At 38.1% G+C, this 17715-nt stretch overlaps 2 protein-coding genes across 6 annotated transcripts in view, besides 1 other annotated feature; one reads left to right on the forward strand and one right to left on the reverse strand.

The window, feature by feature from the left end:
• Nucleotides 1-16801, forward strand: part of ENO4 (enolase 4) — a 62877-nt gene extending 46076 nt beyond the window's left edge. The window contains exon 14 of the mRNA XM_006717835.4: nucleotides 15925-16801. Within this exon, the coding sequence (XP_006717898.1) occupies nucleotides 15925-15998 (74 nt within the window). The 3' untranslated portion in view covers nucleotides 15999-16801. The remainder of the gene's footprint in view (nucleotides 1-15924) is intronic.
• The window catches only part of SHTN1 (shootin 1), a 245110-nt gene that overhangs the window by 14098 nt on the left and 213297 nt on the right, over nucleotides 1-17715 (reverse strand). For 2 of the 5 annotated variants that reach the window (NM_001258300.1, NM_001258299.2), the window contains 4 exons: nucleotides 16216-16269; nucleotides 11053-11173; nucleotides 6191-6383; nucleotides 4738-4966 (listed from right to left, as the gene is read on the reverse strand). In NM_001258300.1, coding sequence (NP_001245229.1) covers nucleotides 4963-4966; nucleotides 6191-6383; nucleotides 11053-11173; nucleotides 16216-16269 — 372 coding nt within the window. In that variant the 3' untranslated portion in view covers nucleotides 4738-4962. Of the gene's footprint in view, nucleotides 1-4737; nucleotides 4967-6190; nucleotides 6384-11052; nucleotides 11174-16215; nucleotides 16270-17715 lie in introns of those variants that run through there. The other 3 variants (NM_001258298.2, NM_001127211.3, NM_018330.7) reach the window with 2 other exon arrangements.
• Nucleotides 10553-11752: an enhancer, noted in NCBI's record as "CDK7 strongly-dependent group 2 enhancer chr10:118665638-118666837 (GRCh37/hg19 assembly coordinates)". NCBI's record gives its function as "activates an origin of replication core promoter dependent on BRD2, BRD4, P300/CBP, MED14 and CDK7 cofactors, with strong dependence on CDK7, by STARR-seq in HCT116 cells {active_cell/tissue: HCT116}" and the evidence as "EXISTENCE:reporter gene assay evidence [ECO:0000049][PMID:35650434]".

Here is a 17715-nt window from a genome sequence, read left to right on the forward strand (position 1 = left end):
TGAGTATGCAGGGTCTAAGGAACAGGATGTGAGTATCTTAGGGTCAATGAAGCAACTTAACTGCAGAATCATTACCTCCTATAGAAGGAATCTTATGGTCATTCTTTTCTTTCTCCTTCCTTAAGCTCTTAAGACACTAAACGCAGTACACCATAGTTCAAAAAGCACTGGCATTGGAAATAAAGTTTAAAACGTTCAAGTGCAATTTGATCTAAATGTCAGTTAGAAGTGTAATTTTGGGCAAGTTGTTTACCTCACTGAGCCTCAGTTTTCTCACCTGTAAAATTGGGATAATGTCCAATCTATAGGTTTGGGAGAATTAAAATAATAAACAAAAGCACCTTGCTTAATATTAGTGAAATACAGTAACAACAACACAGAAGCAAATTCCAAAACCCTCAATCCCCAAACTGGAAGCTGGTTCCATTACCGATAGCCTCCATCTATAGCTAACATATACATCCTGCCTACTATGATTTCAGCACATTTCCTCTTAGATGGATATTATTTTATTGTGAATATATACTGATAAAGAGTAATAGAAGTATTAAAACACACACACAGAATGGAAGTTTCTTGGCATTTCCCCCGAAAATGCTTTTTTCCTTTATTATACCTATATCAACCAAGAACATCAGATTTATGCATTCTGTTGATAATAGAGTTAACATGTTTCAGGTATCTCACATAGGATTAAAATGGAAGGCAATTTCACCCACACTGATGTATACTGGGTTTTCTTATTTATTGCTTGACTTATGTTTCAGAAACATTAATTTCCTAGCTACTCATTACTCAACATCCCAGAATGTGTAAATGTGGGACTAGTCAACCTAGCTGGGGTGAAAGAAGGAAGGCTAGGCCCCAACCAGCTTCGGCTTGACTGTACTGCACGACACTCTTTGGTAAATGTGATTGGCAGGCATATCAAGTGTCTATGTCACATTAAAAAAATACATACATCTGCAATGGTGGCGAACTGATAGCTATGTCCAAAAATTGAATCCACTTTCAAAAGCTAAAGTCATTTGGAAACATATGTTGAATATAGTGGTGATTAAAATGGGTCACGTCATCTTTTGATCAAAATGAATTACTGACACTATTCTCTTAGAGGACCAGCAGAGCGGCTCCGAAGCAGTCGTCTCATCTTCTCACCCATTTTCTCCACCCCGAAATAAACAGGTGGGAAAGACTGCCCAATTTATTTTCTCTGTGATCAGGTACTTTTTTTTTTTTTTTTTTTTTGAGTTAAGAGTCTCACTCTGTGGCCCAGGCTGGGAGTGCAGTGGCACAATCTGGGCTCACTGCAACCTCCACCTCCTGGGTTCAAGCAATTCTCCTGCCTCAGCCTCCTAAGTAGCTAGGATTACAGGCATGTGCCACCACACCCAACTAATTTTTGTATTTTTAGTAGAGATAGGGTTTTGCCATGTTGGCCCGGCTGGTCTTGGACTCCTGACCTCAAGTGATCTGCCTGCCTCAGCCTCCCAAAGTGCTGGGATTGCTGGGATTATAGGCGTAAGCCACCATGCCTGGCCTGTGATCAGGTACTTCTAATGTAAAAAGGTCTAAATGCATTTGGGGCAACAGTGAAGGGCTGCAATGGGTATGTTGGCCCCTAAGAGTACTACTCTAAAAGATAACAGTTATTTTGATTTGGACTTGTAAGTCCTGAGGATGTATTTTAAAAATTAATTATTTTACATTTCTGGGTTTGTGTTTTTCTATAAAAACTACACTGAGAGACACGTAGCTAGGAAATATGTGCCTCTTACTCCTTTTCCTAACCGTGAACAGCTTTACCAAGTGAACACATTGGCTAGGAATTACTGGGATTCTAAAGCTGAAAGGGACTCTGTACAGTATGTAATCTACTTGCCTCAATTTTGGATTAGAAGAAACATAACAAAAAGAAAACAAAACACAGAGAGGTTAAACAACTTGTCCAAGTCATCTGGCCCACTCAAAAACCCAGGGGTCTAGTATCTTAGCTTTGGTCCTTGATGATCCATTATCCCAGCAATATAATTGTAAGATAAGATAGGAAAGGAATTTATTAAAATGCTTTTCCTATATGATCTAATTTACATGACAGTCCTACAGGGCAGGCATTACTACCATCAATTTACACACCAGGAAATTCAGTTATAGATTACATAACTTTCCCAGGGTCACAAATATCTAAACGGCAGACCCAGGATCTGAACCCTACTCTGTCTGACTTTAGAGTTCAAGTCTTGGAAATAACTGGATGCTGCTTGCCACCCTGTGCATATGTGGACAGGCACCGGCTTAGAAAATAAATCACATTGTTTCCTTGTTACTCCCCCTCCCGTCTACAGGCTTTTATTGATTAAAATACAAATCATTCTTGTTTTTCTGACCCTGGGCAACACTTAATTATTCTATTGCCAGGTATTATAGCTGTCTCAAAGTAAAAGAGTTTCTTTTAAAAAGTCTATAATTTAGGCTGAGCGTGGTGGCTCATCCCTGTAATCCCAGCACTTTGGGAGGCTGAGGTGGGTGGATCACCTGAGGTCAGGAGTTCAAGACCAGCCTGACCAACATAGTGAAACCGCGTCTCTACTAAAACTACAAAAATTAGCTGGGCATGGTGGCAGGCACCTGTAATCACAGCTACTCGGGAGGCTGAGGCAAGAGAATCGCTTGAACTTGGGTGGCGGAGGTTGCAGTGAGCTAAGATCGTGCCATTGTACTCCAGCCTGGGCGACAGCAAGACTACATCTAAAAAAAAAAAAAAATTCTATAATTTAGAATTTTCTCTCTTTGATACCCACCCACTGATTGGCCTGAATCAGTGAATAAAATATCTTACTATATTTTAACATTATCAGATTTAATCTTAATCAACAGAAGAGCATGAAAGCAAAAAAGAGGTTTGCACTTAATGTGCCTGGTCAGCCCTTTACCTCTTATAGCATAAAGGGACATGATGAGCATAATTCTGATCTAAATTATAACCAATCGGAATTCATAACGTTCACATTCACTGTGAGATTTAAGATACTAGGATTAGATGGTATATACTTATTAGACATAATTAACAGGACACATTTTGTAGCTATTATTAAAATAGAAACAGAATAAATTAGGCTTTCCCAAGCCCTGATTATCTTTTCCTTTCTTTTTCTTCTTTTTTCTTAAAAACAAACAAACAAACAAACAAAAAAAACACCCTTGCTTTGCATATGTTGGTGACAGGAATGTTAATTTTAATTAATCCTTATAATTAAGCATTAAAAGTGTTTCTTGCTTTCTTATAAGTCCCTAGGAAATAAATCAGTATATCTTTGACTTTATAATTTACCAGAGAGGAGTTACTCAATTATATGGAATCTATACATATGTTGATTTTAGGAATTTATTGAAAGAAAAAAAACTTTCTAGGTATAGTGTGATTTTATTTAATTTTCTGGTTAAGTGAAGATCTTACGCAGATCATACTGAAAATGTGCTCATTCATTCATTTATTCAAAAAGAATTTATTGAAAGCCTACCATAAGGCAGGAATTGTTCCATGTGTGTAAGACACACCAGTAGACAAAACAGGAAAAAATTCTTACCCTCATGGAGCTTACATTCCAGTGGGGGAGAGAAAAAATAAAACAATAAATATAATAAATAAAGTATATAGTAAGTTAGAAGGTGATAACTGCTCTAGGGAGAAATGACGTAGGATAAGGGGGAATCAGAGCTTAAGGGAAGAGGAGTTACAATTTTGAATAGGGTGGCCAGGGTAGGCCTCATAGAGAAGATAACATTTGAGCAACACATCCATGGAGGCAAGGGAGTAAGCCATGCAGCTCTTAGAGAAGACCATACTAGGCAGCGAAGGGCCTAGGGTGAAGTGGTACTGGGACAAAAAGGCCAAAGTGGAGGGGGAAGGGAAGTTAGAGTGGCTGGGGCTGGTGTGTGTGTGTGTGTGTGTGTGTGTGTGTGTGTGTGTGTGAGAGAGTGCATGCATACATATGTTGGGACAGTAATGTCTGTATTTAGAGCCGACTGTCATTGGCATCCTCCCTTGACCTTGATTCAGGTCAAGAGCCAATAGCGCCACTCACGTGAAACACTAACGGTGGTGTTGCCACAGACAAAATAGAAGTGTTAACTACTAGAATGCAAAGACAGTTTTTAAAAGCAAAGGAAATACTTTACTTATTAATTGCTGACCCGACTTCAAAGTGCTTTGACAGGCCAAGTCTATAAAGTAAGAGAATGTGGTTAGTGTAACAGAGTACTTACTAATAAGTCAAAGCCAGCCAGACACAGCACTGAAAATAACCCTTCTCATTCCTGGAAGCTAGGCCAGTTTCAGGGGATTCTGACAAATGATACAAACTGTTAAAGCTTACATGTAACTACATTAAGTTAAAATTCTTTTAGTCATTAAAAGGTTTAAACATTAAATGAATGAAGTGTGCCAGTCTGGGTAAATAATTACCTATACATACACAGAATTCTCAGATTCAATCTGGATAGTCTAATTATACTTAAGAAACAGATTTTTCCAGAAAGGTGCTCTTATTTGGTAAATTACTGTCAATATGAAAATACACGGCATCAGTTATTTTATTTAGCTAAAGAATGTCAAGAACCGAATAATCGAGCATTAGGTTTCAAAGTTTAGAAGTTAATACAGCAGTCCACAGTATTTGTATTAGAGCTTTAAGTAGATAAATTAAACTGGAATGTGTCTCTTAAGCAGTCATTGAACAAGCAAGATGAGAAATAAATTGAGCTTCACATCTGCCTTTATGGCATCTAACAACTGTGTCTGTCAACACATGGATCCTTTTCACTGTCAATTCAACACATATTTTGCAGACCTTGGGCCTGCAATTATTTCATTTCCTTTCTTGGAAATGTAATTTCCACTTACTTTTGGAGAACAAAAGGCAGACAAAAGGAGGAAGGAGTTGCAGTATTTTCTGATTCAGATTATCTGTGTAAAATGGTAAAGGAGAAAAATCTATACACACACACTGAAGCATTTATCAGAAACTAACTTGTCTCAGCCAAATTGCTTTTGTGTCTGGATATTGGTTCAAATGTAGCCAGATTGTTGATGTCAAATTAGGTGTTAAACAAATTTAATAGGAAAGATGGAGAATGAATATAGATCATCTTTCTGTTAGAACTGTTCAAATGACTCTAGTCAAAAGAAAGGAAACACATGACTACAGGAGAAAATGTGCTTTTAAACACAGTGAAATTAGATAAAACTGTAAATCAGCAAAGAAGGCCATTCATTCCAGAAGAGAAAAAAAAGTTAATAGTAGCAATGAGAGAATGCAAGAGAGGAAGAAAATACCAGTTGGCAAAAATAGATCCAAATTGAATTCCAACTTCATTTGTCCAGGTTTCACCTTTTAAGCTAAGACAGCTAGAGTTACAAAAAAGGGGTTCTTTCTCTCTTGATAGGACAGGAAATCAGAGGTTTAATTAACCATGATTACAATATTCGGCTGATCTGATTTGTCTCACCTCTTCCTTTTCTTTAAGTGACAAACTAGCTGACATCCTGGCAAGAGAACTAAAGCAAAACTGTAGACTAATTTCAAAAAAGAGCTGCCATTGTTATAAAACAAATTGATCCTCCACTAGATCTGTCTGAAACACATTCAATAGCAGGATTAACTCTTTGACAATCAAAGTGCCACTCTGAAGCAAGTCTATACAGATAACTCTTTACATAGTATGTTTTCATTTTCAGGATAGAGCAATATTAGGCACATCTTTAACTGAAGACTAGAAAAGAAGGTTGTAAAAACGTGCCCTTCTAAGTAGTCTCTGAAAGATCTAGTATCTTCTTGGGCTGCTCATGAACCATTAAGAGGGATGATCGATGTATTTAATCTTGAAAGACTGATTGTCTCCTGACGCAGAGTCTGTATCATCCAGATCAATTATTTGTGTAGAAGAACCTGATTACCAAACCAGTTTAGGGGAAGTAATTCTCTTTGTACATGGTACTTGCTTTGGATCTGAATGAGATCTCTTAGCTAGGAGCCTAGAATGAAAAAGCTGGCCCATCAAATGAAAAGAAGAAGAGAATTTACCGGCGAGCCAATCAAAATCTCTCTAAAGGAAACAAATCAAAGAAACACACAAGTTAGTCATTACAGATTCTTCTATACACCACTTAGTAAAGAGCATCGTTACTTACTGAAACGTAACCTTGGAACTTGTGCATCCTTCCAATTTACGGGGCCCTTCACCTGGCTCAGGTGTTGGGGGGGACGGGCTGTTGAATTCTGCCTCCAGAGTTTTCTTGTTCAAGGCTGTTTTTGTTACACTGGATACAGAACCCAACACTGGCATGGATTTGGACTCTGAGGTGGCTAATATCCCAGTTGGACCTTAAAACCAAACACATACCTCAAGTTTAATAATTCTGTATGATGCTTATTAATATGGTACTGAAAAACAGATTAGCTGAAAATCCCTCAAGAAGTGAAAAGGCCAAGTTTGTTAAAATTTCAAGAGCATGCTGGAAAATGTTGTTGGAAATCTGCTCTGCTTTCGTGGTACTACTACATTTCAATCTACCAGGACCACGCTGAGAAATTGTGTACAGACCTTTAAGAAACCACAAAATCCCAGGCCACAATTCCCTCACTGACCAGGGTCCTTCGTAATACTGGAATTGTGGAAAGTCTTTTCCTCTCATAGAGTATGGCTTTCTGACAGCCCTACTCGAACCATTTCGCCTCTCAAGAGTTAATTCTTCCCAAAACTCAGTTCTGCATTTTAAACAGCAAATGGAACCATGTCAAAAGGCTCTAAAAGGCTCATGAAGGCTTCTTGAGCATTAAACAGTTTTTATGAACATTTTCATTTTAATGTGAATGAGAAGTAAGTGGATTTGTTTCCTCTTAAAACACAGACACAAAATCATAAAAATTAAGTGGGAAAGAGTTTGGCTATTTACCTTTTGGACTTTTCTGCTCTTTAGGACAGGATTTAAAAACCATAATAAAACTTGTTACTGGAATTATTGGCATATCAATCTAAAAATTCTGGGCATTGAAGCCAGTCCCTAATTTTAGGTGGAAAGATTCTATCCTAGTCAGTTTTTCTCAAAGCATGATTCTAGTAAGTGCTTCTTGAAACTTCAGAAGGAATGCTTTTAAAACAAAGATAAGTCACAAATATGCAAATTAAATGACTATTTCTAGAAATAAAGTGAGAGGATAACCTTGAAATGTGCCAGTAAGAAGAGCACAAAACTTGGGTGTCTCTTGGGTGTCTATCCCTAACAAATGTCAGATCATCTTAAAATGGAAAGCACTAGTGGGTATAATCCAAAATGCTAGCTAATCCCTGACCATTGGTATTAAGCTCTGGAATGCTATTCTTCCATTTGGATTTAATGTGCCTGATATACTCAGTATAATAGCGTAACATATCAACTCTAAAAATGAAGGTCTAATTTGAAAAACCTACCTAAGAGAGACTAAAAAATTGTGAACCCATTCTGTTGGACACCTCTCTGAGCCTTGCTCTATGCAGGTTACACAGGACCTCTCTGTTCTAGTGGAAGCCCCAGTTCACAAAGCATTAGTTTCTATCTTCCCCATTTAATTCACCTATACTCTCTAGGCAGACACGTTTGGACATTATTGGATATTTTGATCTAAAAGGCCTTTTCCGGCTGTACGTGGTGGCTCATGCCTGTAATCCCAGCACTTTGAGAGGCCGAGGCAGGCGGATCGCCTGAGGTCAGGAGTTAGAGACCAACCTGGCCAACATGGTGAAACCCTGTCTCTACTAGAAATCAGCCAGGTTTGATGGTGGGCGCCTGTAATCCCAGCTACATGGGAGGCTGAGGCAAGAGAATCGCTTGAACTCAGGAGACAGAGGTTGCAGTGAGCCGAGATCACGCCACTGCACTCCAGCCTGGGCGACAAGAGAGACTTCATCTCAGAGACAAAAAAAAAAGGCCTTTTCCTCCCAGCTATGTCAAGCCTCATGTTGCATGGAGCTGTGGCAGTTACGACAGAAGGGCAGAACAGAAAGATCAATTAATTTTAGAGTTCCTGAAAATATAAATACGAAGTTGAATTCAAGATTTGCTTCTGATCAGCTCTATTCTGCCCTTGGGTAAGCGTTGACTACAATACTAGTTAGCTTTAAACAATCTGTCCTTGTAAGAAAGATCTGCTTCTGAATACACCAACACATTTTCTGCAAAAAGGAAGGCAATTAGTGAGCTAAGCTACAGCTCTTATATTTTTCTTATATACAAAAAGACATTTTAAAAAATGTACACCGTTTAAGAGTATTATTATTGCATCCTGTTTAAGCCACCCAGTGTTCTCCAAGAGGCACTTGCTGCTCTTTGAAATGTCAGTTTGGTAGGACACAAGGCTAGGTAAAACAAGGGAACATTAGTTAAATGCCTAAGAAAAATCCTAAGGAAAAGGGTACAACATCCTTTGTCCCTGGGGCAGATAACCATTAACCTGAGATCTTAGCTCTGCAAACTCTCAGGCTGTCTCTCTTCTGATGTTTCCTTTCTCTACTTGTGACTTCACATTTACTTTCCCAAAAGCCTTTCTAGGCAGAAGAAAACCACCCCAGAGATTCAAGTACCTGAGACACCAACCTATCCAACTCCTCACCTCTGTCACCTGACTCCCAACATGCAGCTCTGCAGCTTTACTTTCTTGCTTACTTTCCCCCCTGGAATTTTCACATTATCATTCCACAGCCTTTATAAAAATATTCACATGGTAAAAGCCACCTCTAGTTTGATAATAGAAAAATGTTTGTACCACCTAAAAAATGGTATGATTTCTTTTTTAGATGGTAAGAGTTTGTAAGTTTGTTTCCTTCCTTTTTTTTTTTTCTTTTGCTTTGGCTATTAGGAAACTCAAAGGAAATTTCTGCTCAATTACAAGTCACTCCCTTAGTGTGTGTTTGCTCTCTACCTCACCAATGAGTTCTCATTTTTCTATTCATTTATTAACGATTCTACTGAAAATGTATTTTCTATTCTAACTGCCCTAAAATAATACAAATATTTGTATATTGGTGGAATATAATACATTAAGTGAAAAATTCCCACCATGTTCATGAAATGTGTTCCTTTCTGTACTCTGAATTATTCAAATTTCTATATTAACTAAAATAAAAACCTTTGCTCATTTCTTCCATTGAAAACTAACTCTGAAATGTGAGTATTGCACATTTTGACCAAATTTGTGAGTGAAGTAACAATGTTTCTGGAGAAACGAAAAAGCCAGTGGCAAAACACAAAATGTGAACGACAGAGCACTAAAATGGCACATCAACAAAGTCCTTAAAAATAGCAGTGTTGGCCGGGCGCGGTGGCTCACGCCTGTAATCCCAGCACTTTGGGAGGCCGAGGCGGGTGGATCATGAGGTCAGGAGATCGAGACCATCCTGGCTAACAAGGTGAAACCCCGTCTCTACTAAAAATACAAAAAATTAGCCGGGCGCGGTGGCGGGCGCCTGTAGTCCCAGCTACTGGGGAGGCTGAGGCAGGAGAATGGCGTTGAACCCGGGAAGCGGAGCTTGCAGTGAGCCGAGATTGCGCCACTGCAGTCCGCAGTCCAGCCTGGGCGACAGAGCGAGACTCCGTCTCAAAAAAAAAAAAAAAAAAAAATAGCAGTGTTTACATGAGCACTTTAAGGCTGAAACGATGAAAAGGATGACTCAAGCACTGATTAAGTCACAAAATGAATAACGATTATATGTTACGGGGAGGCTGCATAATGCTCACAAAACCATCCTAAGAAAAAAATGTTGTGGTACCCCCTTAATTTTCCTGAGGTAGTTGTTTTGGGGGGCACAGTAGGAGGGGAGAATCTTTGTAAGATTTTAATACCAGAACTTCCAAACCAACCTAAAAACTGAATGGCTGATTTTTGTTTTTTAAAGAAGAAAATTTTCATCTTCTTATAATAAAAGTTTGGTTGGTATTAAGCCACTTTGGGTTCAAGGAATCAATTTACTCAATTGTCTGAGTAAATCTCTCTCTGAACATGAGAACTTGATGATCAAAAACCCATCTTTAATATTCTTGCTACTTAAATTTGGTCAATGTGACTCAGCATTTTCCAGATTTAAACTGTTACGATAGACTACTTGAAGCTGACTGAACTCAATCTAGAAGCTTCAGCCCATTAGCTGCGATTGCTGATTAATTTTACTTTAAGGTAGTTTTTTGAAGTCGGCTTCCTACCTGGTCACAAGGGGAAACCTCATAAAGGTTTCCGTTAATTCCCATGACCGAGCTGATGAAACCACTGAAGACACGCACAGTTATGGGATACATTTTGAGGCCTAATACAGACCTAATGTCACACAAATGCAAACTGTGAGCTCCAGACTCGCTCAGATGGTACATTATAGTCAGTGACAGAGCTGGAATTTCCCAGTCACTCAGTTCACAGGCAGGCACAGTAAGTTAATGGATACAAAGAGTAAAGATGATTTTCCTGCATTTGTAACTGATGTGTAATTTCTACTGCAACTACTAAATGAGTGCTCATTTTGTGCCATGCACATTGCTAAGCATTTTTCACTTACTGACTTAATCTTTAGAATTATCCTATGAAGCAGTGCTTTTATTATTCTCATTATATAGATGAAGAAACTGAGGCACAAAGAGGTTCAGTAATTTGCTTAAGGGCAACCAGCTGGTATACAAGAGAACTAGGACTCAAACTTGGGTGGTCTGGCTCCAGAGCCTGTACTTGATGCTATATTGTTGCCGAATCTCTTCCTGAATGTCTTTACACAAGGGCATCTTGCATTAAACAAATCAGATCTATAAATGCCTGGTTACCTACAAATAAGTAAACACACCAATAAATAAAAATATCTAAGAGTTCTTATGAGATATCCATAAATATCTTTACCCATCCCATACTTCTCACTCACATTAAAAACAAATATTTTAATAATACTTTTTAAAAGATTGTTTCATGTAAAAAGAGACTTAGAAGAAGATGTTTCAGAGATGAAGAGAAGGACTGTGGAGAATTCAAACCGGCTTACTACTGCTATCTGCTTCTGCTGTCACCTTTCTGCGACGCAAAATCCTTTCTAACTCAGTTTCACTGTTTTCAGGGTCAAGGGATTTTAAGCTTCTTGAACTAGTGGATTTGTTAAGTGTCCCCTAAAGTGAAAACAAAACAAAAACAAAAAGGTTAATGTCTTAATACAATATACAAAAGAATATAAAAATCAAACCATGAAAACATTACCAGAATTTGAATGGAATTATGAAACAAAATGAATTTGCTATATATTAATATTTTTTAAATGTGCACATTTTCAACAAGACAGAGTGTTGGATCATTTAAGAAGATGCTATTGATGGTGTAAATGCTAGCTTTTGTTTCAGAAGAACAGTACAAGAACACTTCTGGAAGAGGTGACTATATGAAATTCATCAGTGGGAAGGTACCTGCATAGCGACGATTAAGACGTGATGTGTGTTGACTGGGTGGAGAAGAGAATTGATATATTAAACTCACCTTAGAAGGAAATCTTTATATGGCAGCCACAAGCTACTAAACTGAAGTCACAGCGGCACTGAAAAATGTGTGACTGATCCTTCAGAGGGTGACCCTGGCTGCACACCTGATGTCCGTGGCGTCGTAGCTGTCAAAGGAGGCACATAATGCTCTCCAGGGGCCGACCCAAAGAAGGGCTGCACTGAGCACATCTTGACTTCAGTATGAAAGGAAAGTTATAATCATACAGAGAGGCAAGCAAGGGTCGGCATCTTAACTCCACATTCCTAACACAGGAGACAGTTAATGTATTATTCAGGGCCCAGAAGACACTGAAGGAAACAAGAGATGCTATAAATCTGTACTCCTGCTGAAACTGATACTGGCTTTCAAGAAGACAGAGGAAGATCCATGTTTCCCTGCTCTGGCTCTTCCGGGAAGTATGTTACAGAGTGAGAGCTATGGTTTTCCATCTCCATTACTAGTCAAGTGTTTGTACAGAACACTGGGTGACGTATTTCTCAGTGATACATAAGGATTTAATACATCAACAAGTCTTTCATCAGAGATGCCCATTATTTCTTAGAAACGGTCCTTCTCAACTGTGCCACATACTTGGGAGGCAGCGGAGGGAGGGGAAGGCAGGAGAACCATACATAATCTTTTGATCAGAGGACATAAGAACCTCAAGTCTGGTATAACTTGCCAGACTTCATGCCAGAGTCAAAAGACAGCTTTTGTCCACCAAGGCTAATAATCTTGCCAGCCTTTGTAATGTTTGAACTCACTAAGGACTTGCCTTAATCCTGCTCCCTCCCTGCCTGCCAACTACCTGAAGGATTCTAATAATTCTACTGGCTAAAAATGGTTGTTTTAGCCATTTTTACAAGAAGCCTTGTTTCTTCTTTAGCATGTAAAACAAAAAAAAGGTGCTTGTAAAATCAGATGGTTACAAATCTCATAATTAACCTCTATTAAGAGATTATGTTATTTTGTTTAGGGAATTTTTTCCCTAACTGCTTGAAGTTACAGAAAAGTAACCTGTTGTCAGGGAGGAAACTGACTAACAAGATTAGGAGATTATATTATTTTGCTGTCAGCTGCCTAATCAACTGGTTTGCAAAAGACTTAAATAAGGCTCATATTTTAATTAGGCATATAATTTTTTCCTTAGAAGTATCTCTTTTTATTTTTCATTTATTGTGTAAATACATTAAAAGGACTATCACATCACATGTAACACTATAATGGCTTATTTTATCATTAAAATCTGGTTTGTTTCTTTAACATTGCTGATATGCTTCTATGTGTAGAAGAGTCACACCATAAGGTATGACCAATACTGACAAGATACAGAAAATAGAACCATAGCCACTTTACATTTGAAAAAAGTACTACAACAACTATTCCCATATCATTTGTATTTATAATTTTTAAAAACTTACCATCTCTATCATTTGTAAACAGATATTTGAAAAACACATGGTCATCACTACTAAAATAAGTTGTAAAACTACTACATTGTTTCAATAGCAAGGACACTGTGTAGTTTTTCTCAATGGCTTGATTTAATTCAAGGAAAACTTATGTGTGTGTTCGTACATACATACATACATACCTTTCAAGGATATCTTTTATTGATGAATGTATCTTTCACAGTAATTTCTAGTTTTTTATTTGGATAATGGCATTATTTCCTCAAATTCTTGACTGTAGTAAGCTACTCTCTCATCATACCTGATTACTGAAGGAATCCATTTTCCATGTTTTAACCCTTGAATCCCCAACTTCTTTCTCCATTTACTGATGGATGTGGTGGCTTCAGCTAACATATGAGTAAACTTTCAATACAAGGGCAATTGTGGAGGAAAGAAAGGTTTCTGCATGACTCTCAACTGAAATGATGAAGAGCTCAGCTAATAAAATACCAAGACTATTTTAGTTATCTCTTTATATTAGAATCATAAAATTTGAGAATCAGAAATTAACTTAGAAACTGTGGTACATATAATTCCTTCACTTTATAGAAAAGAGAATTCAAATTCAGTGAGCCTCAGGGTCTGGGGACAGGTCCCACAATAAGTCATTGATAGGGCTGGATCTAGAACTTAGATTTCCCAAGTCCCAAACCAATACTCTTTTTCTACTTCAAACCACTGTGGTCATTTAACAACCTTAGGCCCCATGTTAGTTAAATGTTCATAATACTAACTAATCTAATTGTCAGGCAAAATTAACTATTCAAAAATTTCTGGGTATTTTGGAAAACTGAAGATGTCTGGAAAAGACCCATAATACAATTTTTTAAAAATTGCTTTTAGTTCTTTGATTTACAGCCAACTGAAATTGAGAAGAGAATTTTGATTTGCATCAATCTATTCTTCAGCAATCACCACTGTCACTTAGAGTGGCTTTCTAAGTGACTGAGGTGACTCAAAAGGTTTCATTTCCTAAACCTCAAAACCTTTTGTGACTATGAGAAATGGACTATACATATTTTTATCTACAAAATATCCAGCTTTAAAACTTAAGTGGAAGTAGGTTTGGAAAAACGAGGTCAGTCAATACTGAGACATTAAAAATTGGCTTGAAAATTGTTCAACTCAGAAAATAGAATAGGGGTTTGAAACTCCCCCAAACCAGAGACTTGTTTTCTACCTGGGGGCTAACTTAGCAGAAGGCCAAATCACTAAGTCTTACAACTTGGGTCACATTCCATTTCATCAAAAAATAACCCACACTGAGCTTCTTTCTGGTTCTGTTCCACAATAGAACCGAACACAGTGTTTTTTGGTTTCTTGATAACCCCTGGTACCAGTGCTTGTGTTTTTCAGTACACAACTGCAGGCTTTTCGTGTTCCATCTTAATTGTTTCTTACATGCCATGATTGTGAGGTTGGGACCATGTGCTTTACAGGGTACTAACTTCAATAATCCTAACAGTCTGAACTCCAGCAACAAGCACCACTAAAGACCCAAATGTCTGGCAGGTCGAGCTAGGAGCTTTCTTTTTATCTTTCTTATAAGAATGTGTGTGGTTTATAGGCTCCAGGTGACAGGGAATTACAAATAGTCCATCCTTCCTCAAAGAAACTTCTATGGGGGAAGAGGAGAACTGCCACTTGGCAGAGAGTAGGGGAGAGGATCATGAGCTCTACTTTTAAAAAAACTTAATGTAAAGAAGTAATATTGTCAGAGTAGTAACTCCTAGTGATACACTAATGCCAGGTAAGGCAGTGAGATCTAAAGATAGATCCAAGGCAAGAAGGATGGGGGCAATTTGCCCTAAAAAAGATGTCTTAAAATTTTTTATAACTTATAAATTATTTCACAAATTTCTCTCCTTGAAGTGGCACAAAATTATGGTGAATATGGTATTTAAGAGTAATGCTGTAATTCAGTAAACTTGCTACCATGCAGCATTCTCAGAGAATGGGATATCTTGGCTAATCAAATATTATCATATGTACCTCATAGAGACGTCTGATTTTCAAAATTAACCTAATTTTTAAAAAGTCAAACTCAGTATAGTCTACTCTTTCACTGTTGGCCAGAACTGTGCCCCAGAGGACATCTTTATGAACATGAATTAGCATTATAACACAAACACAACAAAAGAGACTGTCATAGGGAGTTCTCCTTAATAGAACACTGAATAACAGACTTTTCTGATCAAAGAATCTATTAGATAATCACCACATGCTTTTTCAATGGCTTTAATACACTATTCTGTAGGTAGGCCACCACTGTTAGCCAGTGATATACCTCTCTTCAGTGCTAATCCCACTCACTTAAAACTAAAGCAAACTAATTAAGCCATTCTGGGTTAAGTCTACTGTTTAAAGACATGCTTGATGAAAATAATCTTGTTTACCACAATTATGTGGATGTCTACATGCAATGCATAATTGGCACAGCAACAACAAACATGGGAGTATTCAGTCTTGTACCTCCGCCCCCATGTTTGTTGACTTACTGTGCATAATAACTGGGACTGGGACCGTAACAGGATCTGAGAATAGAGCTCTTAGTATCTGAAACATTTTCTAAGTGAGGCATCTGTCTCTAACAGCAACTGCTGGAGAGTGCAGTAGCCGCTGATTCCATTGGCAAAAGCTCACAGTTTGAAAAGCAAAAATATGACTAGGAAGGGACACAAAGTATGCTCTCCAACTGTCAGAAAATAAAACTAGTAACATAAAAAAAGGGCCTCTTATTTTATTCCTCAATTTATCATCAAATAATTGTTTCGACTGTGAGGAAAGGCAGACTGTGACCCTGATATGAAGCTATTTGGGGAGGAATTTAGCTTCACATTTAGGATTCTCCTTTTAGGCTTCAAAGTAAAGCATTATTCATCTATTATATTTCTGTTTTTCATCAACATGTACGGACCCTTACATATGGCCAGCCACTTCATCTTCAAGCTGTGATGCCAGGATTGGAGGGCAAGAACAGGAAACAATGACTTTGGTGAAAGTGTAACCACTCTTTTAGAACAAAAACAGCACAGTGTTATTTGAAAAATTATTAACATATGTGATGGAGCAGTCTGTAAGCACGATCAAATAAACTGGCCAAAGATGAGGCTAATTGTAAATGGGAATAAAACACACCACAAACAATTCACAAAAAACAGATTTTAAAATACTCTCCTTTCATTTCCCCATTAGCTAAACAATAAACTGAAATCTATTCTTACCAGTATTCCTTTTAGTTCATCCACTGCACTTTCGCAGCCTTTCGAAGATTCTGGCTATAATTTTAATAAGAAAGAAAAATCACTGAGTAATTCAGTTTAAAAATACTAAACAATGATTTTTACATGGCAAACTATTAGTAGCCTTATATTGGTAATATGTATGACTATATATATTTTTAAATTAGGACTATGTCTTAAGGTTAGGAAAAAATACTAGCCATGTTAGTGCTTTCAAGTAGCAGTTAAACAAAAAATAAGAAGTTATATTCAAAGCAAAAGGAGACAAGCTACCCTCTTCTAAATACCATATTGTTACCTCTTGATTATTATCATAGACAGAGAAGATTTGGTAGACATCGGATTTCAAAGATCTGATTCCAAATTATTCAGAGCTTCTTAGGATAAACTGTCCTCTACCTGCATTGCTGGACTCTGCCAGCAAGCAGAGACTAGAAACAAGGCAGTGCAGAGCAGAAGCAAGCCACAGGGCAGAAAACCTCTCTCAGCTCCACCAGCTATGGGAGGAGGTCAGCTTACAGGGGCCTGGCATGTAAGAATTTCACAAGAGGACAGAGTCGAGAGAGCAGGGACCAGCAAAGAACCTGGCTACAGGAGAAAGTTAGCATGGCTGGCTGCCAGAGCAGCCAAAGACCTCAGAGGAGGTGCAGTCCAATCACTCATCTTGGAAGGAAAGTCAGGCTTCAGCCAGGTAGTATTTGAGTTAGGTGTCTTGATTACAAGCTCAGCTCTCTTCTGGCCATACCATGGACAAAATAATCTGAAGTAAAATTCTGGGTATGATTTGCCTGCCTCACAATACCTAACGATCTCTGCAGATCACTCAACTAATTTAATGGAGGGAAAATTTAGCATGAGGACCTCATGAAAAGTAAGTTCAGGAAAGACTTCTGATCTCCCTCGTACCACTTCCTTTCACAAAGGATAGAGATGAAGGGGAAACTTGCAAGACATAGTGAAAGGAACCCCTTGAGCCTCTTATTCCTGGAAAAGAGGTAAGGTTATATTCTCTCTCATCAAAAAAATGAGAGTTAATTAACAGCAACCTATAATCCTTTCCTCTCAAAAACAATTTAAAAATAAGATCCTACTTCAAATTTTAAAAACAGAGAAGAGAGAGGTTTGCTGCTCATGTACAAAGCTGACTAAGGCATTCAGCTCTCATAGCGCAGATTTTCTGTGAAATACACATGCCCTTAGTGCCAGTCCATACGCACTAAGACACTAATTTGAACCACACTAGCACCACCACCACCACCACCACCACTACCACCAAGGAATTTTGAAAATAAGCGGTTAAATTAATATTCTCAAGGCAGGCTTGACTTCTGCAGGTCAACCCTTCAGGTGATAAGCTGTGACGTTCAAACAAATGCCCTGCCTTTAGGCATACCCAAAAGTGCTGCCATGCCACTCAGGCTGCCCTCTGACTGCACAAGCCTTTTGAACCCTGGACCACAAAATGTCGCCATTTGTGACATT

The sequence above is a fragment of the Homo sapiens genome, chromosome 10 (assembly GCF_000001405.40).
Source record: "Homo sapiens chromosome 10, GRCh38.p14 Primary Assembly".
Classification (NCBI taxonomy): domain Eukaryota; kingdom Metazoa; phylum Chordata; class Mammalia; order Primates; family Hominidae; genus Homo; species Homo sapiens.